This window comes from Homo sapiens, chromosome 12 (assembly GCF_000001405.40).
Source record: "Homo sapiens chromosome 12, GRCh38.p14 Primary Assembly".
Lineage (NCBI taxonomy): Eukaryota > Metazoa > Chordata > Mammalia > Primates > Hominidae > Homo > Homo sapiens.
This window is the reverse complement of record NC_000012.12, coordinates 132,224,363-132,251,591: the sequence shown is the minus strand read 5'-3', so window position 1 is coordinate 132,251,591 and position 27,229 is coordinate 132,224,363. Positions and strand designations below refer to the sequence as shown.

Sequence of the window (27,229 nt, the reverse complement as noted above, 5' to 3'; positions counted from 1 at the left end):
TCTCCTGGTCAGAAGAGGACCTGGGAGGGCGGTGTGGGCCCGGAGGAGTCCCCTCTGAGAGCTGGCCTTGCAGAGCCCTGAGCTCCAAGGATTTAAGGAGTCAGCGACCCCAACCCCATTGACAAGCCACACAGAAACGAGAGCAGCCGCTCCCCTCCCCGGAAAGCGGATGCCGGGAGCCCCCCAAGACGCAGAGCACCGGCCTGTTTCACAGCTTCCTGCCCCGTAACCGGCGTCGTGAACTGGACATGCCTTCCTGTGCTTTTCATCCTTAACGTACTCCAGTTTTAATTTTAACTTTTCGTTTCAGTGCCTCTGATTGAAGGTGGCAAGTGTTGACTGAAACCAAAGTTAAAATTGTATCGATCGAAATTCATAAAATCAAATGAATGTGAAAGAAATGTAAATAATCAAGCTCTCGGGTGATGTTTCCATGCGTTTGTGGCTCGCACATCTGCACGTACGTGTACCGTGTGCCGGTCACCGCTTGGGTCTTGCACGGCGAGGTTTCAGTGTGCGTTATTCTCGACGTGTTCCAAACTCCGTGTGGAAGGACGCGGCTCCGGTGCCCTTGTCTTAGCTTCTCCGTGGATTGTGTCTTACGCGCGCGCTGCTGTTTACGTACCTATCCCAGGTTCACGGGCACCGGGCTCACTAGGCCTCCCTGTGCACGTGTGCAGGCGACAGGTCCACCGCAGGCCTCCGGGGATGTGGGTCCCGACTCCACCCACACGGGCGGTGCCCACCGCCTCCTCGCCGTCTTACCTCGGCATGAGCTGAGCCTTTGTTGTTGTTGTCGTTTGAGACGGAATCCCCTCTGTCACCCGGGCTGGAGTGCAGTGGCGTCATCTCAGTCCACTGCAACCTCCGCCTCCCAGGTTCAAGTGATTCTCCTGCCTCAGCCTCCCGAGTAGCTGGGATTACAGGTGCACACCACCACGCCCGGCTAATTTTTTGTATTTTTAGTAGAGATGGAGTTTCTTCATATTGGCCAGTCTGATCTTGAACTCCTGACCTCAGGTGATCTGCCTGCCTTGGCATCCCAAAGTGCTGGGATTACAGGCGTGAGCCACTGTGCCCGGCCACGTTGGCTTTTCTTGTTATCAGGGTCTGTGGAAGATCAAAGCACTCAATGGGCCATTGGTGAAACTCATATAACACAAATCAACCACACTAAAGTGGGCACCTCTGCGGTGTTTCGACCATCACAGTGTCGTGCAGCTGCCACCTCCGTCTCGTTCCAAAGCATTGTCCTCCCTCCCCGTGGGGACCCCACACCCACGAGCCGCCACTCCCCGTTCCCCCCGCCCCAGCCCCTGCATCCACGAATCCACTTCCTGCCCCCGTGGACTTGCCTCTTCTGTTCCTTGCATGCGGACGGAGTCACACGGGGGGCAACCTCTTGCACCTGGCTCCCTGCCCTCGGTGCCACGTTTCCAGGGTTCCTCCACGTCGCAGGCTGTGTCAGCCTCGCTCCTTCCACTGCAGAATTGCGGTCCACAGCCTGGATGGGCCACTCTCCATGTATCCACCTGTCCCTCCGTGGCTGCTGGGCTGAGTCGCTTCTGATGCTAACAAGAGGCGTCCGGCTGGACTAAGGCCCCGGAAGCTGAGAACTGGAGGGCAGGTGCGGGCATCGGGCAGAGCAGCTCCAGCAGGCAGGACCTGGGGCCTCCACCCTGCACCCCTGTGCCCCGCGTGTGGCGGAACCGCCCCGAGGGGAGGCTGTCACCACGGTGACAGGCAGCCCCACGCGAGCCTGAGAACCCTCAGCCCACCTTTTTCTGTAATCACAGCAGGCATCTCTCCGGCAAGTCAATCCAGTTCCAGCTGGTGCTGCCTCCCTTGCCTCATGGGCTTTATTTTAGAACTCTGAGCAATAATAAAAAAGACGCTACCCGCTACAATAGATGTGGCAGAGAATCTGGCTCTTCACTTCATCAGAGATCACCCTGAAATGATGGTTGTTGTTAAGAAAACAGGAGAAATACCTGTTGTATATGATAAACTATAACTTACCCAATCAAAGGTTGCTATTAAAAATCAAGGGGGGGTATTAAAATTTCATCACTGTTAGGTTTGTGGCCGAAATCTAATGACAGAACAAATTGGATCTTTGCACAAATAAAAGGACAATTGCTTTTTAATGCTCCTGCTATTCTTGGACAATCGATGGGCATTTATTTCTGACTGCTGAGTCTCTGGGGACAGAATTGCTTCCTTTAAATTATGACAGAGGCCAACTTTTGCTGTTGTTTTTATGGAAGAACGCGTTGATACGCAGAGGAGGATCAGGGAAGCTCAAGGCCTGCAGGGCGGCCTGCCGTGGCATCTGGGGATAGCGTGAGGCTTTGCTGCTTCCTCTGACAGCTCCTGAGGCCTCAGAAGAAATGAAGCTCTCCACGGACAAGGAAATTGTTTTGAGGCAAAATCTTTCAGCAAAGATGAGAAGTTCCTCCTTCCTTACAACACACAGACTCTGCCTGCTCCTTGCTGGAGATGTGATTTTCCTGCCTCTTTTTCAATCCCCGCCACCTTCCAGACACCCAGTAGAAACCTGAGAGGGATGAGTGAATGAGCTCGCACGTCGCGTGGCCCACAATGGCACACCAGCTTATCCTCCCGCTCCACTCTGCAGATCCTGCCTTCACTGCTCCGCAGATCCTGCCTTCACTGCTCCGCGGATCCTGCCTTCACCACTGCTGTCCATGCAGCCTCTTCCCAGGGGATTTGCAGCACTGATGCACTCTCAATACATATTAGAAAAAATATAACTAGCATACCAATGCATGATTTCACAGAGATGGGGCCAGGCTAAGTCGGCTGACGTTTTAGAATTATTACAGGAAGTATAGTACAGCTGGCAGTCTGTGGCACATAGCTGCACAGGCTGTGCACTCAGCTCCAAGCTGCGTCGTTCAGAATCTGTCATCAACAAGGTTCTGTGGAGTTGAGCAGTGCACAGCCTACGCAACTGCCCATTGCAGTCCTGGCTCCTGATACACAGTTAGGATGAAGCATGGGGGAGGCGGGCAAGTGACTCACTCGAACTTGGGAAATGATGTTCAAGGCAACCACAGAGCTCCTTAGGTAAACTGATCTTTTTTCAGGGGAGAGGGGAGACAGGATCTCACTCTGTTGCCCAGGCTGGAGTGTAGTGGTGCAATACCAGCTCACTGCAGCCTCAATTCCCAGGCTCCAGTGATCCTCCTGCCTCAGCCTCCCTAAGTGCTGGGATAACAGGCGTGAGCTACTGTGCCGGCCGATTGATCTTTTTTTAAACCTCCTACACTAAGCTGAATTGAATGCGGGTTCTGTCATCTGTTGGCATTCAGCATTTGGACGCTGTCTGGGCTGAGGGCTTAACCAGGCTCCAAGGGACTCAAGTCCTGGTGGCTGGAGGAGCAGCGGCCCCTCACCTTGAGCACAGGGACCTGAGTGCACAGGGAGGAGGCACAGGAGGGAGGGGTGGTGGGGTCTTCCAGGCTTTCCTGGCTCATGGCCCAGCAGGCAGGGCTCAGGCCTGCATGGCGAGGTCCTCACGCCGCTGTCTCTGCCTCCCAGGACCCCAGCCATGATCGGCTGCTCCTTCGTAGTGGACCGCGAGTACTTCGGAGACATTGGGCTGCTGGACCCCGGCATGGAGGTGTATGGCGGCGAGAACGTAGAACTGGGCATGAGGGTGAGTGCGGCCCCGGTGTCCAGGGACAGGGTGAGGGCGAGTGAGGCCACAGCGTCTGGGAACAGGATGAGGGCGAGTGAGGCCGCGGTGTCCGGGGACGGGGTGAGGGCGAGTGTGGCTGCAGCGTCCGGGGATGGGGTGAGGGCGAGTGCGGCCACGGCATCTGGGGACGGGGTGAGGGCGAGTGAGGCCGCGGTGTCTGGGGACGGGGTGAGGGCGAGTGCGGCCACGGCATCCGGGGACGGGGTGAGGGCGAGTGCGGCCATGGCGTCTGGGGATGGGGTGAGGGCGAGTGTGGCTGCAGTGTCCGGGGACAGGGTGAGGGCGAGTGCAGCCATGGTCTAGGGACAGGGTGAGGTCCAGGGCTCCTGCTCAGCGCACTGAGCCCTCTCCAGAGCCTAGGCTGAGGCAGCTGGAAGCCAAGCTGGGCGGCCAAGGCTCCCAGGGTCCCTGAGCTGGAGTTGGGGACAGTGAGATGGGGCTACCCTGAGTCTTGCTAGAAGCTCAGTGGCAACATCACTGAGAAATTTTGTAGAATCACAAAAGATGGCATTTCCCATGTCTACTTTATTTTTCATGCCCTTTGTTTTGCTGTTTATGAATTGCCCCCAGGTGACAATGGATTGGGACCTTGGAAAGGTGGGTCCTTCGGCACAGAGGGTGGGTGTGAGGCTCTGAGCTCGGCCGGGCTTCTGCCTCCCGGGACTGTGTCTGTGTGAGGCTCTGAGCTGGGCCGGGCTTCTGCCTCCCGGGACCGTGTCCGTGTGAGGCTCTGAGCTCGGCCGGGCTTCTGCTTCTTAGGTTTTTATTTTGGAGGTTGCGGGTTTTTTATTTTGGAGTTTCGTTTGGTTTCCTTTGTGTTTTGCCCATGGGGCTTCTATTCACAGAAAAGAGTTAAGGCTAGTTTTAAAAATTTATATGTAGTTTATTAAGTTGCACCTTTCAAAACCTGTGCTGTAAGCTTGCGGTTCACTTTAAAGATCGTACTATCGTGGACACAAATTCAATCAATAAAACGGCCTCCTTCCCCGTGGCCGCGATTGTTTAACTCAGGTTGGGCAGATTAAATAATACTGTGAGGCCGGGCACTGAGGCTCACGCCTGTAATCCCAACACTGTGGGAGGCAGAGGTGGGTGGATCATGAGGTCAGAAGTTCGAGACCAGCCTGACCAGTATGGTAAAACCCTGCCTCTACTAAAAATACAAAAATTAACCAGGCATGGTGGTGCATGCCTATAATCCCAGCTACTCAGGAGGCTGAGGCAGGAGAATCACTTGAACCCAGGAGGCGGAAATTGCAGTGAGCTGAGATCGCATCACTGCACTCCAGCCTGGGTGACAGAGTGAGACTCCATTTCAAAAAATATATGATAAAATAAAATAAAATAATACCGTGAAACAGAATTCACTGCTTTTGTGCCTTTAAAGTCCCTTGAGCCTTTTAAAAATGGCACTTACAAACATAGTGTTTTATTTTCTTTTAATCACTTTGAATGCCTGATATCATACCAGAAATCCCCCCGACCAAGTGCTTTAAAATATCTAGTTTAATAAATTGAATTGAGACCAGATCTGTGAAGGATGTCAGGACTGTTTGCAGGTGCCTTTAATCCTCTCATCCTGTCCGATTTTAAACTGCACATCTAGAATCAATCCTCAATTACACATTTTTAAAATGGAAGCTGGAAGTTAATCTGGCAGGTTCTTTAATATTCTGACTTCCCTTAACTGCTGTGATTGTTAAACACCAGACCTTGGCGGGTCGGCCGTGGATTGAACGCACCCACGCGGGTGTCGGCTTCTCTCACCGTCTCCCCTGATGCTCACCCTGTGGGGCAGGAGACCAGGCCAGCAGTCAGGGGCCTAAGAAAGCCGAGGCCCTCAGAGGGATGGAACGCACCGCAGAGACGAGGAGGACAGCCTGGGGAGGGTGCCGGGGACCGGCAGTGCGCAGCCACCACCGAGGCCGAAGAGCGAGGGAGGACGGGACCCCTGGGGTGGAGGGCACCCAGCAGATGTGGTCCTGGGGACAGAGCCACCGTCAGTGAAAGACAAGTCGCCTCAGCAGGAAGGGCCCAGGGGAGAAACACGCCCACCTCCCCTCCAAACAAAATCGGCTCCCGTGGGCCAAACCCAGCTGCAGTGAGAGGAGGTCCCAGGAGGCTGGGTCGTGGGTGCATCCCAGGCTCAGGCTCAGAGCAAAGCCGGGACGACAGCGAACCTGTGTGGTGGGCGAGGGTCAGCAGGCCGGGCTGGGGGTGTGGGTGCTGGACCACGGAGGGCCCTGGCTGGGCGAGGGTCAGCAGGCTGGGCTGGGGGTGTGGGTGCCGGACCACGGAGGGCCCTGGCTGGGCGAGGGTCAGCAGGCTGGGCTGGGGGTGTGGGTGCCGGACCACAGAGGGCCCTGGCTGCAGCCGTTGGAGAGCTTCCCTCCCGTCTCCATGACACATGGGCCTTTCTTTTTTTTAAGACAGAGTCTTACTCTGTTGCCCAGGCTGGAGTGCAGTGGCACGATCTCTGCTCACTGCAACCTCCACCTCCCGGGTTCAACTGATTCTCCTGCTTCAGCCTCCCAAGTAGGTGGCACCACAGGCACATGCCACCATGCCCGGCTAATTTTTGTACTTTTAGTAGAGACGAGGTTTCACCATGTTGATCAGGCTAGTCTCAAACTCCTGAGCTCAGGTGATCTGCCCGCCTCTGCCTCCCACAGTGCTGGGATTCCAGGTGTGAACCACCACGCCTGGCTGACATAGGGGCCTTTCTGATGGCCTGACTCCTCCGCGGGGCAGGGGAGCCTGTGTCACCGCGGGTTCTGTCTTTCACCTTCATCCCCTGACAAGGCACAGCTGTGGCCGCGCCCAGCGTTTACTCCACTCCCTGACCTCCCTGCCCTCCCTGCCACCTCTCCCCCGACCTCTCCCCCTGACCTCTCTCCCGTCCTGGGGGCTTGAAAGTTTTCACCTTGGTGTCCTGTCTGGCGGTCAGAGGTTGCTCTACGGTGGGAGACAGGCTGAGAACCAGAACCCAGTTCTCCTGGTGAGGGACAGGAGACTCACCTGTCCCCATCACCACGCCCCCGTCCAACTCCATCACCATGCTGCCCGTCCAGCCCCATCACCACGCCCCCGTCCAGCCCCATCACCACGCCCCCGTCCAGCCCCATCACCACGCCCCCCCATCCAGCCCCATCACCACGCCCCCCCGTCCAGCCCCATCACCACGCCCCCATCCAGCCCCATCACCACGCCCCCGTCCAGCCCCATCACCACGCCCCCGTCCAGCCCCATCACCACGCCCCCCCGTCCAGCCCCCATCACCACGCCCCCATCCAGCCCCATCACCACGCCCCCATCCAGCCCCATCACCACGCCCCCGTCCAGCCCCATCACCACGCCCCCGTCCAGCCCCATCACCACGCCCCCGTCCAGCCCCATCACCACGCCCCCGTCCAGCCCCATCACCACGCCCCCCCGTCCAGCCCCATCACCACGCCCCCATCCAGCCCCATCACCACGCCCCCGTCCAGCCCCATCACCACGCCCCCCCGTCCAGCCCCATCACCACATCCCCCGTCCAGCCCCATCACCACGCCCCCGTCCAGCCCCATCACCACGCCCCCCCGTCCAGCCCCATCACCACATCCCCCGTCTAGCCCCAGCCCTGCCGGGCCCTCAGATGCTGACCACCGCTTTCCAGTCCCCCAGCTCCTTCCCTCCTCCCACCTTGTGCTCTTGGCCCGTGGAGGCACCGCAGGCTGTCTTGGCCCGTGGAGGCACCACAGGTTGTTGGAAGCTGCACCGTGGTCCGAGTGGCCGGCCCGAGGCCTCACTCTGCCGGTGTCGAGAACTGCACGTTGCCGCCCCTGAGGTTGCACTGCCCCCGTCTGTCCCTATGCCCCTAACCACACATCCCTAAAGCTTCCCTTCATTAACATCTTTACTGTTGAGCCCAGTAGGGTGAACTTTCTTTCTTGTGGGGTGTGGCGGACACGGGACTCTTCCAAAAAATATTTAGGATGCAAAGCTGGCAAGAGACGGTGATTGACGGGTGATTGGCCGGTGATTGATGGGTGATTGACGGGTGGGCTGGGACAGCGGCTGATTCCCAGTCCCCAGGCAGGCAGGGCCTTCATAGGGACAGAATGCCAGCCGGTGCGTGGTGGCATGTTGGGGAGAGCCACGATGGACACGTGGAGTTCAGTGGCCCCAGGACAGCCAGGTGGGGCTCACAGTTGGGGTTAAAGCCTGAGAGGCAGAGTGGGGGCTATGCAGAAGCAGTTTGAGGGGATGACAGAGGCGGGAGAAATAGAAATAGAACTGGGGTCTCCTGGGAGCCAGACGAAGAGACGTGGTGTCTGGAGGGAAGGACCAACAACACCAGAGCTGCCCCTACGAACCCAACTTCGTTTCCCCAAAGAGTGGATGCCCTGACCTTCAGGTCGGCCAGGTGGGGCCCCCACCAGAGAGAGAGAGCTCCGGAAGACGAGGAGGACTGGGGCCCCCACCAGAGAGAGCTCCGGAGGACGGGGAGGACTGGACACTGAGGCCACTGGGGGCCCTGATGGCCCCCCGGGAAGGGTGTGTGGTGTGTGTGTAATGGGTATAGGGAGGGCCCCGGGAAGTGTGTGTTGTGTGTGTAATGGGTATAGGGAGGGCCCCGGGAAGGGGGTGTGGCGTGTGTGTAATGGGTATAGGGAGGGCCCCGGGAAGGGTGTGTGGCGTGTGTGTAATGGGTATAGGGAGGGCCCCGGGAAGGGGGTGTGGCGTGTGTGTAATGGGTATAGGGAGGGCCCCGGGAAGGGGGTGTGGCGTGTGTGTAATGGGTATAGGGAGGGCCCCGGGAAGGGGGTGTGGCGTGTGTGTAATGGGTATAGGGAGGGCCCCGGGAAGGGGGTGTGGCGTGTGTGTAATGGGTATAGGGAGGGCCCCGGGAAGGGGGTGTGGCGTGTGTGTAATGGGTATAGGGAGGGCCCCGGGAAGGGTGTGTGTTGTGTGTGTAATGGGTATAGGGAAGGCCCCGGGAAGGGGGTGCGGCGTGTGTGTAATGGGTATAGGGAGGGCCCCGGGAAGGGGGTGTGGCGTGTGTGTAATGGGTATAGGGAAGGCCCCGGGAAGGGGGTGCGGCGTGTGTGTAATGGGTATAGGGAGGGCCCCGGGAAGGGGGTGTGGCGTGTGTGTAATGGGTATAGGGAGGGCCCCGGGAAGGGGGTATGGCGTGTGTGTAATGGGTATAGGGAGGGCCCCGGGAAGGGGGTGTGGCGTGTGTGTAATGGGTATAGGGAGGGCCCCGGGAAGGGGGTGTGGCGTGTGTGTAATGGGTATAGGGAGGGCCCCGGGAAGGGGGTGTGGCGTGTGTGTAATGGGTATAGGGAGGGCCCCGGGAAGGGGGTGTGGCGTGTGTGTAATGGGTATAGGGAAGGCCCCGGGAAGGGGGTGTGGCGTGTGTGTAATGGGTATAGGGAGGGCCCCGGGAAGGGTGTGTGTTGTGTGTGTAATGGGTATAGGGAGGGCCCCGGGAAGGGGGTGTGGCGTGTGTGTAATGGGTATAGGGAAGGCCCCGGGAAGGGGGTGTGGCGTGTGTGTAATGGGTATAGGGAGGGCCCCGGGAAGGGGGTATGGTGTGTGTGTAATGGGTATAGGGAGGGCCCCGGGAAGGGGGTGTGGCGTGTGTGTAATGGGTATAGGGAAGGCCCCGGGAAGGGGGTGTGGCGTGTGTGTAATGGGTATAGGGAGGGCCCCGGGAAGGGTGTGTGTTGTGTGTGTAATGGGTACAGGGAAGGCCCCGGGAAGGGGGTGTGGCGTGTGTGTAATGGGTATAGGGAAGGCCCCGGGAAGGGGGTGTGGCGTGTGTGTAATGGGTATAGGGAGGGCCCCGGGAAGGGGGTGTGGCGTGTGTGTAATGGGTATAGGGAGGGCCCCGGGAAGGGGGTGTGTTGTGTGTGTAATGGGTATAGGGAGGGCCCCGGGAAGGGGGTGTGGTGTGTGTGTAATGGGTATAGGGAGGGCCCCGGGAAGGGGGTGTGTTGTGTGTTTAATGGGGATAGGGACGGCCCCTGGAAGGGGGTGTGTTGTGTGTTTAATGGGTATAGGGAGGGCCCCGGGAAGGGGGTGTGGCGTGTGTGTAATGGGGATAGGGAGGGCCCCGGGAAGGGGGTGTGTTGTGTGTGTAATGGGTATAGGGAGGGCCCCGGGAAGGGTGTGTGTTGTGTGTGTAATGGGTATAGGGAGGGCCCCGGGAAGGGGGTGTGGCGTGTGTGTAATGGGTATAGGGAGGGCCCCGGGAAGGGGGTGTGTTGTGTGTGTAATGGGTATAGGGAGGGCCCCGGGAAGGGGGTGTGGTGTGTGTGTAATGGGTATAGGGAGGGCCCCGGGAAGGGGGTGTGGCGTGTGTGTAATGGGTATAGGGAGGGCCCCTGGAAGGGTGTGTGGCGTGTGTGTAATGGGTATAGGGAGGGCCCCGGGAAGGGGGTGTGGCGTGTGTGTAATGGGTATAGGGAGGGCCCCGGGAAGGGGGTGTGGTGTGTGTGTAATGGGTATAGGGAGGGCCCCGGGAAGGGGGTGTGGCGTGTGTGTAATGGGTATAGGGAGGGCCCCTGGAAGGGGGTGTGTTGTGTGTGTAATGGGTATAGGGAGGGCCCCGGGAAGGGGGTGTGGCGTGTGTGTAATGGGTATAGGGAGGGCCCCTGGAAGGGGGTGTGTTGTGTGTGTAATGGGGATAGGGAGGGCCCTGGGAAGGGGGTGTGGCGTGTGTGTAATGGGTATAGGGAGGGCCCCTGGAAGGGTGTGTGTTGTGTGTGTAATGGGTATAGGGAGGGCCCCGGGAAGGGTGTGTGGCGTGTGTGTAATGGGTATAGGGAGGGCCCCTGGAAGGGTGTGTGTTGTGTGTGTAATGGGTATAGGGAGGGCCCCGGGAAGGGGGTGTGGCGTGTGTGTAATGGGTATAGGGAGGGCCCCGGGAAGGGGGTGTGGCGTGTGTGTAATGGGGATAGGGAGGGCCCCGGGAAGGGTGTGTGGTGTGTGTGTAATGGGTATAGGGACGGCCCTGGGAAGGGGGTGTGGTGTGTGTGTAATGGGTATAGGGACGGCCTTGGGAAGGGTGTGTGGCATGTGTGTAAACATGTATAGATCATACTGCACATTCCAATTCTGCTGGTGATCAGGTTCTGGTAACTTCCCAGGAAACAGAAGGGTTCCAGCAAGATAAGGTAAATTATAAACAGAATAAAAGAGGAAGAAAAACACGGCAGAGAGTGAAGAGGAGCAGGTCCGAGGCCCATAGAGCACAGCCGAGCCCCGGGGCCACGCACGGAGCCCACAGCCGAGCCCCGGGGCCACGCACGGAGCCCACAGCTGAGCCCTGGGGCCACGCCAGGCCCACAGCAGCACTGCCAGCGACTGGAGTGAGTGCCGCCCGGGGTCCGAGCTGGGCACGGCTATTCTTGCTCCGTTCTGAGGGCTGGTTCTGAGGCCATGTCTGCGCTGAACAAGTGGAGGCTGGAAGCCAAAGGGTCCCTTTCACCAGCCACCTGGCCAGCATGGGGTGTACAGTGGGGTCTCCCTGCAGCCCTGGAGTCTGCCGGCCAGAGGCCAGAGCCGGGCCGGGGCTACAGGGAGGGGCACGGTGACCCCCAGCCCGATGGCGGCGCCTGACTTGGTCATATTCCAGATCCCTGACCTGTAGGGCGACCACCCCACTCAACCCCGCCATTTAGAGAGGAGATTCCTCTCAAGCAACGTCCCCTAAATACGCTTGTTCTCAGTGGAGCAACTGTTGAATATTAAACAGCAATGATTTAAGACCACACATCCTGATAGGCCCCAAGGGGAGCAGTTCTATAAACTGCCCAAGGACTGTGGATCTTCCTGTGTTTAGAGCGGCGGGCCTGGGTTGGGGAGCCACTCTTCACCTCTGATCACTCCTCTCCCCAGACACCAGACAGCCTAGCAGCTCCCAGGCAGGCGGCTGCCTGAGGCCAGGCCCCTCACAAGAAATGATTCCCCTCTCTCTGCATCTCTCTCTGTGGTCTGTCTCTCTGTGTCACTCTATCTCCTTGTGTCTGTCTCTCTTTGTCTCTCTCAGTCTTTCTGTGTCTCTTTATCTCTGTCTCTGCATCTGTCTCTGCCTCCCAGTCTCTGCCTCATTCTCTCCATGTCTCTGTCTCTGTCTCTCCCAGTCTTTTTGTCTCTCTGTGTCTCTTTGTCTCAGTCTGTCTGTATCTCTGTCTCTTTGTCTCTCTGTCTCTCTCTGTCTCTGACTCTGTCTCTGACTCTGTCTCTCTGTCTCTCAGTCTCTCAGTGTGTGTGTCTCTCTCTGTCTCTCTGTGTCTCTGTCTCTGTGTCTCTCTGTCTCTGACTGTCTCTGACTCTGTCTCTCTGTATCTCAGTCTCTCAGTGTGTGTGTCTCTCTCTGTCTCTCTGTATCTCTGTCTCTTTGTCTCTCTGTCTCTCTCTGCCTCTCTGTCTCTGACTCTGTCTCTCTGTCTCTCAGTCTCTCAGTGTGTGTCTCTCTTTCTGTCTCTGTGTCTCTGTCTCTGTGTGTCTCTCTCTCTGTCTCTGACTCTGTCTCTGACTCTGTCTCTCTCTCTCAGTCTCTCAGTGTGTGTCTCTCTCTGTCTCTCTGTGTCTCTGTCTCTGTGTCTCTCTGTCTCTCAGTCTCTCAGTGTATGTGTCTCTTTCTCTGTCTCTGTGTCTCTCTGTCTCTCTCTCTGCCTGTCCCCCACCCCCACACAGCTCCTGGGTTCTGACAGATGTCAATGCTGTGTGGCCCCCACCCCCACATGAAGATAAAAAATTCTCCCTCATCCTGAAAAGTACCCCCGTTCTCTTCTAAGCTTTCTGATTATTTCAAGAGGAAAATCTAGGCCAGGTTCTAGAGCACCTCTGATGCTGAACAGTCTCACCTTTCGAGCGGCCATCAGACGACAAAGCCTTCCAGACTGTGGTATCCAACCACTTTAACTGCGGTGTGTATCTTATTGTATTTATTTGTACAGTTATCTCTCATTTTTGGCAAGAGATAATGGTCCTCTCCTAAGGCAGTGATAAAGAGTTTCCTGTTAAAATTCATGCAGTTATCCTTTGGGTGGATTTAAAGACGTGTGTTAGGTAAATGGTAGCACGTCCCTGGGCGGGTGGCCTGCAGATGAGGGGGCGGAGGAATCAGGCTGTCATTCTCCTGGCCCCTCCCACAGCCCTGGGGAGGAGCTGAGGCCCAGAGAGGCTGAGTGACCTGCCCAGGGCCACGCAGCAGATGGATGTGAGACTCACACTCAGGCCTGCCCACCTTCGCCTTCCACTGGCCCAGGTGCAGGTCAGCCAGGCCAGGAGTCCCCATCCCTAGGGCAGCCCCTCCCCATGCCACGGCCCCGCCCTCTGGCCTGTCCTGGGCATCTGCAAAACCGTGGTCTCTCTGGCACCAGCAGTGGCACAATGTCCAGGAGACCTTGACACCATGTCGCCCCTGCGGCTGCTGCCCCGGCCTCCACTCCCCCTTACAGGAAGCCGTAGTAGGGTTATGAGTGCGCCGTCTCCACGTCCCCCTGCCCGGCCCCTCCTGAAGCCCCCCATCCAGCTCTGTCCCCCTCGCCAGTGACCCCAGAGCTACCTGCAAAGGGGAGTCCTCGGTCTCCGCCGTGAGGGACCCAGCAGCCGGCCGTGTCCCTCATGGGCTCTGGGATGACGCCCCCTCTCTCCCCTCTCTCCTGGGTCCTGAGCAGCCCCTGCCCGCGTCCTTAGCCTTGGAAGCATCAGCCAGGCTCGTTGCTGTAAGGTCATGACTATGTCCTTCAAGCCACCGAGCTGTGGAATTCGTGGCGGACGGCAGCCACAGGAAACACACGTGACCTCCACCTGACCTTGGCTCACCCACTGCAGAGTCCTTGCCTGGCTCCCCGTCTGCTGGGGTCACAGATGTTTCCTGAGGGCCTGGGTCTAGGCCGCACGCTGGGGAGAGGTAGAGGCCCTGAAGCTGGAGGGCAGCAGGGGCAGGCCTGGCACGGGGGTCCCTCATGCAGAGGTTTTGGGTCACATGCCACAGATGGAGGGTTCCACCCCCCAACCTCCACCGCAGGCCTGGCAGATGCCTGTCCGCTCGGGTCAAGCGCTGTCCCGGGCTTGCTTCCATGCCACGTGGTGAGGCTGCGTCAGGCCCCACCAATTCTGCACAGGTGGCCCCGAACTGAGCACATATTTCCTTTGCCTGAGCAGAAGGGAGGGGACCCCATCCCCCACCCACGAACCACCACACTGGGCATCTCCTGCAGAGGCAGCTGTGGGCAGGTGTGTGGTGTGAGCAGGTGTGTGGTGTGAGCAGTTACTGGCAGGTGTTAGCAGGTGTGAGCAGGTATATGCAGTTGTGAGTAGGCGTAGGTAGGTACAGGCAGCTGTATGCAGGTGTCAGCAGGTGTGGGCAGCTGTGTGCAGGTGTAAACAGGTATGGGCAGGTGTGAGCAGCAGTGAACAGGTAAAAGCAGGTGTCAGAAGGTGTAGGCAGGTGTTTGGGCAGGTGTGAGCACCTGTGTACGGTATAAGCAGATGTCAGAAGGTGTAGGCAGGTGCAGGCAGCTGTGAGCAGGTTTGGGCAGGTGTGAGCAGCTGTGAACTGGTGTGGATGGGTGTGAGCAGGTGTGGACAGGTATGAACAGGTGTGGACGGGTGTGATCAGGTGGCCTGGGGCAGCTGAGGGTACACGGCAGATACAGGAGCTCCACGTGAAGGCAGCCAGACTCCAGGTCAGGACACAGCCAACCAGCCCTGGGTCCCACACTGCCTGCACAGCCTCAGCAGCCACAGTCCCGAGAGACCTGGCCGCTCCACACTGGGGTCAGGGCAGCCCTGGGCTCCCTGAGAGATGGAGGAGAAGTCCAGTGGAGAAGAGGACCTGGGCGGAATCCCATGGGCCATGGAGCACCCGGAGAGATCCAGGATACGAGGGTTACCAGATTGGATGAGGATAAGAACAGCTGTGGGGCCTGCGGGAGGAAGCCAGGCTGTGGGAGGCCACACGACCAGCACCCACATGGCTTTCCCATCCCGATGCCACAAAGACCACAGCCAAACCAACCCTGGGAAAACGGGCATGAGGGGCCGCCATGCCCAGGATAGACCACAGGGATCACCACTGACTTGAAATTGGGGGCACAGCAAGACTTAGACACGGGAGACCCCCAGGAGGCGTGGCTGGCCGAGGCCAGGCTTGATGCCCCGAAACCTTACACCTTGCGAGGCTGGGCGATCTTCGGGATGGCTTTGGTTTTCGCTGATTATTTTAACCAGGTACAGATAAGGGTGGACTCTTGAAGGAAATCAAAGTGCAAGTTTGGAGCTTGAAAGGAAAGATAGAAGAAAGGAAAGAAGGTGGGAAGGAAGGAAGGGGAAAGGGCTGGGGGAGGGAGAGACGCCATCCCCCCACGTCTGTGATGATTTTGCAGAGCTGACTCCCTGGCAGCCGTGATGACAGGTGCTATGGGGCCTCAGGGAGCTCCGCAGACGCTGTGGGGTCTTCCCCTCCGGTTCCGAGGCCCCCTCCAGAGACACCAGGCCTGGAGCCCGCAGCCCCCACACTGGATGTGGCTCCCTTGGCCCCGACCCAGGCCCACCGCGACCCCCACTCCAGGGCCATGGCCCCCACCCGCTCCCCGCCAGCCGCCTGTCGGGGCTGTCATTGCTGATTTATTCACGAGATCGATGCCTGGGGGAGGGAGGCTGGCATTTGCTTGTATTTGAAAGGCCCGTCTGACCTTGAACTCCAGCCCAGGGGATCTTCTGCCCTGTCCCGAGGGTTGAACTCCAGCCCGGGGGACCCTCCTGCCCTGTCCCGAGGGTTGAACTCCAGCCCGGGGGACCCTCCTGCCCTGTCCCGAGGGTTGAACTCCAGCCCGGGGGACCCTCCTGCCCTGTCCCGAGGGTTGAACTCCAGCCCGGGGGACCCTCCTGCCCTGTCCCGAGGGTTGAACTCCAGCCCGGGGGACCCTCCTGCCCTGTCCCGAGGGTTGAACTCCAGCCCGGGGGACCCTCCTGCCCTGTCCCGAGGGTTGAACTCCAGCCCGGGGGACCCTCCTGCCCTGTCCCGAGGGTTGAACTCCAGCCCGGGGGACCCTCCTGCCCTGTCCCGAGGGTTGAACTCCAGCCCGGGGGACCCTCCTGCCCTGTCCCGAGGGTTGAACTCACTCCAGCCCGGGGGACCCTCCTGCCCTGTCCCGAGGGTTGAACTCCAGCCCGGGGGACCCTCCTGCCCTGTCCCGAGGGGCTGGCCGCCAGGGCCGCTGGGGGCTGAGCAACTGGCTCTGGCTGCTGTGGGGTGGGTGGAAGGGCAGGGTCTCCCCCTTCCCCAACTCCATGCTGACCACCCTGGAGGGGCACTTCAAGGGGGTTTGGAAAGAGGTCGGGTACCTTTCCCCACCTCCGAGCTGTGCCCCAGCTTCCTTCTCTTCTGAGCTCCAGTTCCCGCAGCCGGTGCCCCCCAACACTCTCTCCCTCTGCTCTCTCCTCCTGTCCACCTCTCCTCTAGGACCCTGGGTTCAAATCTTGGCTCTACCCCACACAGTTTGTTTGGAAGCTGCCTGATTCCCAGTCTCCGGGTCCCAGCTCCAATGACCACACCGTGCACAGCGCCCACCGCACCCGGCTCCTCACTCCTCCAGCACTGTCCTCTGCCCCACACACTCTGAGCTTGTGGGCCAGCTCCACGCTGTCTCCTCTCTCACGCCATCGAGTGTGTGGCACTAGGGGCTCCACGCTGTCCCTGTCACCCCATCGAGTGTGTGGCACTAGGGACTCCACGCTGTCTCCTCTCTCACGCCATCGAGTGTGTGGCACTAGGGACTCCACGCTGTCTCCTCTGTCGCCCCATCGAGTGTGTGGCACCAGGGACTCCACGCTGTCTCCTCTGTCGCCCCATCGAGTGTGTGGCACTAGGGGCTCCACACTGTCTCCTCTGTCGCCCCATCGAGTGTGTGGCACTAGGGACTCCACGCTGTCTCCTCTGTCGCCCCATCGAGTGTGTGGCACTAGGGACTCCATGCTGTCTCCTCTGTCGCCCCATCGAGTGTGTGGCACTAGGGACTCCACGCTGTCTCCTCTGTCGCCCCATCGAGTGTGTGGCACTAGGGGCTCCACGCTGTCTCCTCTGTCGCCCCATCGAGTGTGTGGCACTAGGGACTCCACGCTGTCTCCTCTCTCACGCCATCGAGTGTGTGGCACTAGGGACTCCACGCTGTCTCCTCTCTCACGCCATCGAGTGTGTGGCACTAGGGACTCCACGCTGTCTCCTCTGTCGCCCCATCGAGTGTGTGGCACCAGGGACTCCACGCTGTCTCCTCTGTCGCCCCATCGAGTGTGTGGCACTAGGGGCTCCACACTGTCTCCTCTGTCGCCCCATCGAGTGTGTGGCACTAGGGACTCCACGCTGTCTCCTCTGTCGCCCCATCGAGTGTGTGGCACTAGGGACTCCATGCTGTCTCCTCTGTCGCCCCATCGAGTGTGTGGCACTAGGGACTCCACGCTGTCTCCTCTGTCGCCCCATCGAGTGTGTGGCACTAGGGGCTCCACGCTGTCTCCTCTGTCGCCCCATCGAGTGTGTGGCACTAGGGACTCCACGCTGTCTCCTCTGTCGCCCCATCGAGTGTGTGGCACTAGGGACTCCACGCTGTCTCCTCTGTCGCCCCATCGAGTGTGTGGCACTAGGGACTCCACGCTGTCTCCTCTGTCGCCCCATCGAGTGTGTGGCACTAGGGACTCCACGCTGTCTCCTCTGTCGCCCCATCGAGTGTGTGGCACTAGGGACTCCACGCTGTCTCCTCTGTCGCCCCATCGAGTGTGTGGCACTAGGGACTCCACGCTGTCTCCTCTCTCACGCCATCGAGTGTGTGGCACTAGGGACTCCACGCTGTCTCCTCTGTCGCCCCATCGAGTGTGTGGCACCAGGGACTCCACGCTGTCTCCTCTGTCGCCCCATCGAGTGTGTGGCACTAGGGGCTCCACACTGTCTCCTCTGTCGCCCCATCGAGTGTGTGGCACTAGGGACTCCACGCTGTCTCCTCTGTCGCCCCATCGAGTGTGTGGCACTAGGGACTCCATGCTGTCTCCTCTGTCGCCCCATCGAGTGTGTGGCACTAGGGACTCCACGCTGTCTCCTCTGTCGCCCCATCGAGTGTGTGGCACTAGGGGCTCCACGCTGTCTCCTCTGTCGCCCCATCGAGTGTGTGGCACTAGGGACTCCACGCTGTCTCCTCTCTCACGCCATCGAGTGTGTGGCACTAGGGACTCCACGCTGTCTCCTCTGTCGCCCCATCGAGTGTGTGGCACCAGGGACTCCACGCTGTCTCCTCTGTCGCCCCATCGAGTGTGTGGCACTAGGGGCTCCACACTGTCTCCTCTGTCACCCCATCGAGTGTGTGGCACTAGGGACTCCACGCTGTCTCCTCTCTCACGCCATCGAGTGTGTGGCACTAGGGACTCCACGCTGTCTCCTCTGTCGCCCCATCGAGTGTGTGGCACTAGGGGCTCCACGCTGTCTCCTCTGTCGCCCCATCGAGTGTGTGGCACTAGGGGCTCCACGCTGTCTCCTCTGTCGCCCCATCGAGTGTGTGGCAGTAGGGACTCCACGCTGTCTCCTCTGTCGCCCCATCGAGTGTGTGGCACTAGGGGCTCCACGCTGTCTCCTCTGTCGCCCCATCGAGTGTGTGGCACTAGGGACTCCACGCTGTCTCCTCTGTCGCCCCATCGAGTGTGTGGCACTAGGGGCTCCACGCTGTCTCCTGTCGCCCCATGGAGTGTGTGGCAGTAGGGGACTCCACGCTGTCTCCTCTGTCGCCCCATCGAGTGTGTGGCACTAGGGACTCCACGCTGTCTCCTCTGTCGCCCCATCGAGTGTGTGGCACTAGGGACTCCACGCTGTCTCCTCTGTCGCCCCATCGAGTGTGTGGCACTAGGGACTCCACGCTGTCTCCTCTGTCGCCCCATCGAGTGTGTGGCACTAGGGACTCCACGCTGTCTCCTCTGTCGCCCCATCGAGTGTGTGGCACTAGGGACTCCACACTGTCTCCTCTGTCGCCCCATCGAGTGTGTGGCACTAGGGACTCCACGCTGTCTCCTCTGTCGCCCCATCGAGTGTGTGGCAGTAGGGACTCCACACTGTCTCCTCTGTCGCCCCATCGAGTGTGTGGCACTAGGGACTCCACGCTGTCTCCTCTGTCGCCCCATCGAGTGTGTGGCAGTAGGGACTCCACACTGTCTCCTCTGTCGCCCCATCGAGTGTGTGGCACTAGGGACTCCACGCTGTCTCCTCTGTCGCCCCATCGAGTGTGTGGCACTAGGGACTCCACACTGTCTCCTCTGTCGCCCCATCGAGTGTGTGGCACTAGGGACTCCACGCTGTCTCCTCTGTCGCCCCATCGAGTGTGTGGCACTAGGGACTCCACGCTGTCTCCTCTGTCGCCCCATCGAGTGTGTGGCACTAGGGACTCCACGCTGTCTCCTCTGTCGCCCCATCGAGTGTGTGGCACTAGGGACTCCACACTGTCTCCTCTGTCGCCCCATCGAGTGTGTGGCACTAGGGACTCCACGCTGTCTCCTCTGTCGCCCCATCGAGTGTGTAGCACTAGGGGCTCCACGCTGTCCCTGTCACCCCATCGAGTGTGTGGCACTAGGGACTCCACGCTGTCTCCTCTGTCGCCCCATCGAGTGTGTGGCACTAGGGACTCCACGCTGTCTCCTCTGTCGCCCCATCGAGTGTGTGGCACTAGGGACTCCACGCTGTCTCCTCTGTCGCCCCATCGAGTGTGTGGCACTAGGGACTCCACGCTGTCTCCTCTGTCGCCCCATCGAGTGTGTGGCACTAGGGGCTCCACGCTGTCTCCTCTGTCGCCCCATCGAGTGTGTGGCAGTAGGGACTCCACACTGTCTCCTCTGTCGCCCCATCGAGTGTGTGGCACTAGGGACTCCATGCTGTCTCCTCTGTCGCCCCATCGAGTGTGTGGCACTAGGGACTCCACGCTGTCTCCTCTGTCGCCCCATCGAGTGTGTGGCACTAGGGACTCCACGCTGTCTCCTCTGTCGCCCCATCGAGTGTGTGGCACTAGGGACTCCACGCTGTCTCCTCTGTCGCCCCATCGAGTGTGTAGCACTAGGGGCTCCACGCTGTCCCTGTCACCCCATCGAGTGTGTGGCACTAGGGACTCCACGCTGTCTCCTCTGTCGCCCCATCGAGTGTGTGGCACTAGGGACTCCACGCTGTCTCCTCTGTCGCCCCATCGAGTGTGTGGCACTAGGGGCTCCACGCTGTCTCCTCTGTCGCCCCATCGAGTGTGTGGCACTAGGGGCTCCACGCTGTCTCCTCTGTCGCCCCATCGAGTGTGTGGCACTAGGGGCTCCACGCTGTCTCCTCTGTCGCCCCATCGAGTGTGTGGCAGTAGGGGCTCCACGCTGTCTCCTCTGTCGCCCCATCGAGTGTGTGGCACTAGGGACTCCACGCTGTCTCCTCTGTCGCCCCATCGAGTGTGTGGCACTAGGGACTCCACGCTGTCTCCTCTGTCGCCCCATCGAGTGTGTGGCACTAGGGGCTCCACGCTGTCTCCTCTGTCGCCCCATCGAGTGTGTGGCACTAGGGACTCCACGCTGTCTCCTCTGTCGCCCCATCGAGTGTGTGGCACTAGGGACTCCACGCTGTCTCCTCTGTCGCCCCATCGAGTGTGTGGCAGTAGGGGACTCCACGCTGTCTCCTCTGTCGCCCCATCGAGTGTGTGGCACTAGGGGCTCCACGCTGTCTCCTCTGTCGCCCCATGGAGTGTGTGGCAGTAGGGGCTCCACGCTGTCTCCTCTGTCGCCCCATCGAGTGTGTGGCACTAGGGACTCCACGCTGTCTCCTCTGTCGCCCCATCGAGTGTGTGGCACTAGGGACTCCACGCTGTCTCCTCTGTCACTCCATCGAGTGTGTGGCACTAGGGTGAGTCTCTGTCACTACTTTTCCAGTGCCCAGAAGAGTGTGAGGCTCAGCAGAGTCTCACCAAGACGTCCCGAATGGAGGTTGGGAGCCCTGCAGTGGCCTGCGGTGTGGTCTGCCTGTAATGAGCTCAAGGGAGGCTGAAACACCAACAAAATAAATCGATCCATTAACCCGGACTGTTACCCCGTTAACACATACCTCAGCCTCCAGTGTGGCTATCACACGTCAGCCAGCCCCTCCCTGCCAAAATATGCCGTGTCCCAGCTACAGGAGGACCGGGCCTCACCCTTCTGATTTAAGGGCTGCGGGGAAGGGGTCCTGCCCGGGCAGCCTTCTCATCCACTCCGTGAGGACTTCCCCGCCACGAGGGCCAGGTGGCGCGGCCTTGGCAGTGGACAGATTAACAGGACTCCCCCGCCACGAGGGCCAGGCAGCGTGGCCTTGGCAGTGGACGGATTAAAGGGCTCCCCAGCCCGCGTGGGTTATGGGGCTTTTTCTATGCCCGTCGATCTGGCAGCGAACGCCAGGTGCCCGTAGACCCACCAAACCCCCCTGCAGTTGGTTTGTACCCCAGCTCCTTTTGCCTTGTAGCAGATCACCCCATAATTTAGTGGCTTAAAGTGACTGTTTCATTTTGTTCACAATCTTGTGGGTCAGGAACTCGGGAAGGCGGATGCTGTCCTGTGTGGCGGCCCCCATCACAAGGCTCACAGGCAGGACGTCCAGCAAGGGGCACGCACACACATGGCAGGGGGTGCGTGGACTCCGGAGGGTTCAGCTGGGGCAGGTGGCTGTGCGCGGCCTCTCCACAGCTGGGCTTCCTGGTGGTATGTGAATTTTGGTGGCCCAGGCTGGAATTACGATGCCCTCTGTGCCCCACCTTGGATGACCCGGTGGCGACTGTTGATGGATGCAGCCACACGCCTGCCCAGGTTCAAGGGGGCGGCACCGGGACCCAGGTCGGCCTGGCAGAAGGGTCCGGGAATGTGCATTCTTTGTGTATTTCACTGTTCTTTGCTTGTTCAGCAGAGTGAGGTGGCTGAGATTGGGGCTGAGAGCCTGTGACTCCACCACCGACGGACGGTGACCTTGGGCAAGCTCCTAGCTTCTCACAGCCCCGGCTTCCTCATCGGAGAAAGGATTCCTTTATTAGGATTAAATCAGTGAACACCTGTGGTGCCCTGAACCCCGTAACTGGCACTGAGTTGGTGCTTCACAGATGCCGGTGACCATGATTTCTTTCTCGCCTGGGACTCAGGGAGAGGCTGGTGGCTTCCCAGCTAAGCTTGCCAACCATGCCGGCCGTGTGGCCCGAGAAGGGTGGGGACGGCCCCGCTGAGGCACAGGCGGCCTCTCTCCCAGCCCCATCCCCGTCACGCGTGCTCATGAGAGCAGGACTTACTGCGGGGCTGTGCCTGCGAGTGTGGCCCTGGGGCCTGCCGCGGGGTGTGGTCGGTGTCTGGGGCATTAGTGAATGAACAGATAAGTCATCTGGATAGTCTCTCCATAAAGTGCTCGTGCCAGGGCAGGACGGGTGGGGCGTCAAAGGGAAGCGAGTTATTCATTGGCTGAACAGACTCCTGAGTGAGCTCAGGTGCTGGAGGCTGCTCTGGGTTCAGGTTCCACAGAGAGCAAAGCAGACAAAGCGTGCGCCTCGTGGGGCTTGCCTCTGGTGACCCAGGGCGAGATGGGGCGTGGGCTCCACCTGCGGTGGAGAGGCCTAAGTGGGGAGAAGACCAGGGAACGGTGCACGGAGCGGCCACCTGTGAGCCAGGATGGAGGAGCAGAGGCAGCTGCAGGGAACAGTGTTCCAGCAGAGGGATTGGCAAGGGCAAAGGCTCTGCCGCCCTGAGACTGGTACGTGTCCAGGGGAGGGCGGCCCCCTGCCCCATGCACTGGCACAGGTGTGTGCCCCAGGACCACGTGGCCATGTGTTCTGCCCCTGGCTCCTGTGCACCCGTGTCTAACCCGTCCACACCGGCGGCCTCTCTGATCAATTCAGCCCAATTAGAGGAGTAATTCTCCCGTCTTGGGGCCAATTTACATTTCTGCGACGGTAGAAATGCCAGCTGCTCATCTTCTAATGAGGAAAGTCCTAGAGCCAGTTAGAGGAAAATGAGTCCATCGCGTCTATTAGGCTTAATAAAGGTCAGGACGGAATCAAGTGTGAGAGTCGGGCCAGGAAAGCCATCTGCAGAGCGGAAGTTGGAAATCGTTTGCTCTCTGTCTTGAAACGCTCGGACATGCTGCTCCTCGGGTGTTACAGGAAAACCTCCTCTTGCACACGGAAGGCACCTCCTGGACCCTCGAGACCCCACTCCGCTGGGGGGCTGTGTGAGCATCAGAACGTCTGGGGCCGGGGGGGTGGCTTTTGCAATTCTCCAAGGGGGTGGGTTCATCAAGATCCTGTTAATAAGCCCTGTCTCGCCAGAGGCAAAGAGGTGTCACCCTTCCTCTGGGGAGGGAGCGAGGAGGTGCTGACTGGCCGCCCTGTCTTGCCAGAGGCAAAGAGGTATCACCCTTCCTCTGGGGAGGGAGCGAGGAGGTGCTGACGGGCCGCCCTGCCTCGCCAGAGGCAAAGAGGTATCACCCTTCCTCTGGGGAGGGAGCGAGGAGGTGCTGACGGGCCGCCCCGCCACCCACACTCAGGGAAAGGGAGTGCCGGGGTCAGAGGGACGCTGGGGAGGGACGCCGGGGAGGGATGCAGGTGTCAGAGGGACGCCGGGGAGGGACGCGGGGGTGTCTCCTTTCTGCATGAGTGGAGGGCAGAGGGAGAGGCTGGAGAGAGACTGAAGCCCTGTTCTTGTTCTCTAGAGCTGCTTTGTCCAAGGGCTTGTTCCAGCCACAGGTGGTTGGTGCCCCCCCGCCACCCCTGCTGGGGCGGCACATGGCGTCCTCACCAAGTCTGGCACCGCCACTCCCCAGCAGACCACAGAGCAGGCTGTAGCTACAAGACGGGCCACTCACCTGCCCACAGCCCCTGCTCAACCTCAGCAGGTCAACCAGGCCTCCAGGCTGCAGGGAGGAGACAGATGGGGAAACCGAGGCTCAGAGCAAGAAGGTGTGGGGACGGGGAGGTCTCTGTCCATTTGCACATCCCTGTGGGGAAGCCCCGCTGAGCACGAGGGGTCTTCAGAAGACCCCTCCACGTTGCCTTTGGACCCTGCCTCTGCCCATTAACCAGCGGGGCTGCCTCCGTACCCTGAGCCTCCGTTTCCCCATCTGTCACTAAGGATGACAATACGACTACACCCCTGGGGCTCTTTCAGGATTAAACGCAGTGGGGCTCTCAGTGCCTGGGATACAGCAAGCATGCTAATTTTCATCACGTGCAGACATTCCTTAAACACCAGTTTTCTTTTCTTTAGAAAAGCTGTTTTAGATGTAAAAGCACTGGATATAAGTTAACTAGAACAAAATAAAAATCACCCACAATTCTGCCTCTGTCTGGGCCGAGACGTGCACCTCGCTGGAGCCCGTCTGCGTCTGTCAGACTCTGTCTGTGGTGCGTGCGTGTGCCTGGGTGTAACGCGGCCTGAGGTGTTGCTTTCACAGGCACACGCTTCGGAGGGAGCTGCGGCCAGCAGGGTCGGGGAGCTGGGCCGGGGAGAGGGTCGCAGGCCTTTGTCCGTGCAATGCACTTCCCCACACGCGTTCGGGGACGGCACCATGCACAGCTGCACGCTGGTGCCCCGGGGTTCTGCTGACGAGCTGGGGAGCCATTTCGGTGCCTCCGTTCCATCTGGCACAGAAACGATTCTTCCTGTATCTGAGTCTCTCCTCATGCCCTAGCCATTTCCTCAGGCTGAATTTCTAGAAGCGAAATTACTGACTCAGGAAACGCATATTTTCATGGATTTATGTACAATTTGCCAAATTCACCTCCCTCCTCCCAAAGAAAAAGCTATGGGTTGTGTGTGGGTGTGGGTGTGTGTGTGTATGGGGTGTATGTATGTGTGTGGGGGGGATGGGTGTGTATGTACAGTGTGGGGTGTGTATACAGTGTGTATGGGGTGTATGTGGGGTGTGTACAGTGTGTGGGGTATGTATATGGTGTGTGTGGGGCGTGTTTATGGAGTGTATGTGTGTGGGGTGTGTATGTACAGTGTATGGGGTGTGTATATGGTGTGTGTGGGGTGTGTTTATGGGATGTGTGTGGGTGTGTATATGGGGTGTATGTGTGGGATGTGTATGTACAGTGTGTGGGGTGGGTGTATGGGGTGTATGTGTGTGGGATGTGTATTTGGTGTGTATGTACAGTGTGTGGGGTGGGTGTTTGGTGTGTATGTACAGTGTGTGTGGGGTGTGTATATGGGGGTGCATGGGGTGCATGTGGGGTGTGTATATACAGTGGGGTGTGGGGTGTGTGGTGTGTATGTGTGTGGGGTGTATGTGGGTGTGTATATACAGTGGGGTGTGGGTTGTGTGTTGTGTATGTGTGTGGGGTGTGTATATGGTATGTATGGGGCATATGTGTGGCGTGCATGTGTACAGTGTGTGGGGTGGGTGTATGTGTGTGGGATATGTCTGTACAGTGTGGGGTGTGTACATGGGGTATATGAGGTGTATGTGTGTGGGATGTGTATGTACAGTGTGTGGGATGTGTATATGGGGTATAAGGGATGTATGTGTGAGGTGTATGTACAGTATGTGCAGCGTGTATATGGTGTGTATGAGGTGTATGTGTGGGGTGTGTATGTACCGTGTGTGGGGTGTGTGTATATGTTGTGTATGGGGTGTATGTGTGGGTTGTGTATGTACAGTGTGGGGTGTATGTGTGTGGGGTGTGTATATGGTGTGTATGGGGTGTATGTGTGGGGTGTGTATGTACAGTGTGGGGTGTGTGGGATGTATGTGTGTAGGGTGTGTATTTGGGGTGTATGCGTGTGGGATGTGTATGTACAGTGTGGGGTGTGTGTATAGTGTGTATGGGGTGTATGTGGGGTGTGTACAATGTGGGGTGTGTGGGGTGTATGTGTGTGGGGTGTGTACAGTGTGTGGGGTGTGCATATGGGGTGTATGGGGTGTGTGTGTGGGTTGTATATGTACAGTGTGTGGGGTGTGGGTTGTGGGGTGTGTGGTGTGTATGGGGGGTGTGTATACACAGTGTGTGGGGTGTGGGTTGTGTGGTGTGTGTGAGGGTATGCATGTACAGTGGGGTGTGGGTTGTGTGGCGTGTGTGGGGTGTATACAGCGTGTGTAGTGTGGGTTGTGGGGGGTGTGTATGTACAGTGTTGTGTGTATGGGGTGTGTACGTACAGTGTGTGTATGGGGTGTGTACGTACAGTGTGTGGAGTGTGTGTGTGGGGTGTGTATATACAGTGTGTGGGGTGTGGGTTGTGTGATGTGCATGTGTGGGGTGTGTATATATAGAATGTGGTGTGTGGGTTGTGTGGGGTGTGTATGTACAGTGTGGGGTGTGTGTTGTGTGTGGCATGTGTATATACAGTGTGTGGAGTGTGGATTGTGTGGTATGTATGTGTGTGGGATGTGTATGTACAGTGGAGTTTCAGTTGTGTGGTGTGTGTGTGGGGGGTGTATATAGTGTGTGGGTTGTGTGGTGTGTATGTGTGTAGGGTGTGTACAGCGTGTGGGGTGTGAGTTGTGTGGTATGTATATGTGGGGGTGTTTATGTACAGTGTGTGGCATGTGGGTTGTGTGGGGGTGGTGTGTATGTAGTGTGGGGTGGGTTGTGTGGTGTGTGGGGGGTGTATAAGTATAGTATATGGGATGTGTATATGGAGTATATGCAGTGTATGTGTGTGGGKTGTGTATGTACAGTGTGTGGGTTGTGTGGTATGTGTGTAGGGTGTGTACAGTGTGTGAGGTGTGAGTTGTGTGGTATGTATATGTGGGGGTGTGTATGTACAGTGTGTGGCATGTGGGTTGTGTGTGGGGGGGTGGTGTGTATGTAGTGTGTGGGGTGTGGGTTATGTGGTGTGTGGGGGGGGTGTACGTATAGTGTATAGGGTGTGTATATGGGGTGTATGTGTGTGGGGTGTGTATGTACAGTGTGTGGGGTGTGGGTTGTGTTTATGCATGTGGCACGTGTATATACAGTGTGTGCAGTGTGGATTGTGTGGTATGTGTGGGGTGTGTACATTACAGTGTGTGGAGTGTGGGTTGTGTGGTGTGTATGTGGGAGGGTGTGTATGTGTGTGGGGTGTGTGTATGAGATGTATGTGTGTGGGGTGTGTACAGTGTGGGGTGTGGGAGGGGTGTGGGGTGTGTATGGTGTATGGGGCGTATGTCTGGTGTGTATGCACAGTGTGTGGGGTGTGTAGTGTGGGGTGTATAGGTACAGTGTGGGGTGTGTATGTACGCTGGGGTGTGTATATGGGGTGTATGGGGTGTATGTTTGTGGGGTGTGGGTTGTGTGGTGTGTGTGTGTGGGGTGTGGGTTGTGTGGGGTGTGGGTTGTGTGGGGTGTATGTGGGGTGTGTGGGGTGTCTGTGTATGGGGGTGTGGGTTGTGTGGGGTGTGGGTTTTGTGTGTGTGTGGGGTGCGGGTTGTGTGGGGTGCATGTGTGTTGTGTGGCGTGTCTGTGTGTGTGGTGTGCGGGTTGTGTAGGGTGTGGGTTGTGTGGTGTGTGGCGGGGGGTG

At 58.8% G+C, this 27,229-nt stretch overlaps 1 protein-coding gene across 1 annotated transcript in view, besides 2 other annotated features; it reads left to right on the top strand.

Moving 5' to 3' along the window:
* Positions 1-27,229, top strand: part of GALNT9 (polypeptide N-acetylgalactosaminyltransferase 9) — a 133,218-nt gene that overhangs the window by 77,998 nt on the left and 27,991 nt on the right. The window contains exon 6 of the mRNA NM_001122636.2: positions 3,565-3,682. Coding sequence (NP_001116108.1) covers positions 3,565-3,682 — 118 coding nt within the window. The remainder of the gene's footprint in view (positions 1-3,564; positions 3,683-27,229) is intronic.
* Positions 7,790-11,258: a repeat instability region, noted in NCBI's record as "repeat instability region; HinfI fragment, which displays instability at the MS43a repeat region". NCBI's record gives the evidence for it as "EXISTENCE:restriction fragment detection evidence [ECO:0001124][PMID:8094296, PMID:3482146]".
* Positions 8,253-10,800: a minisatellite, noted in NCBI's record as "MS43a (D12S11) VNTR, 45 nucleotide repeat".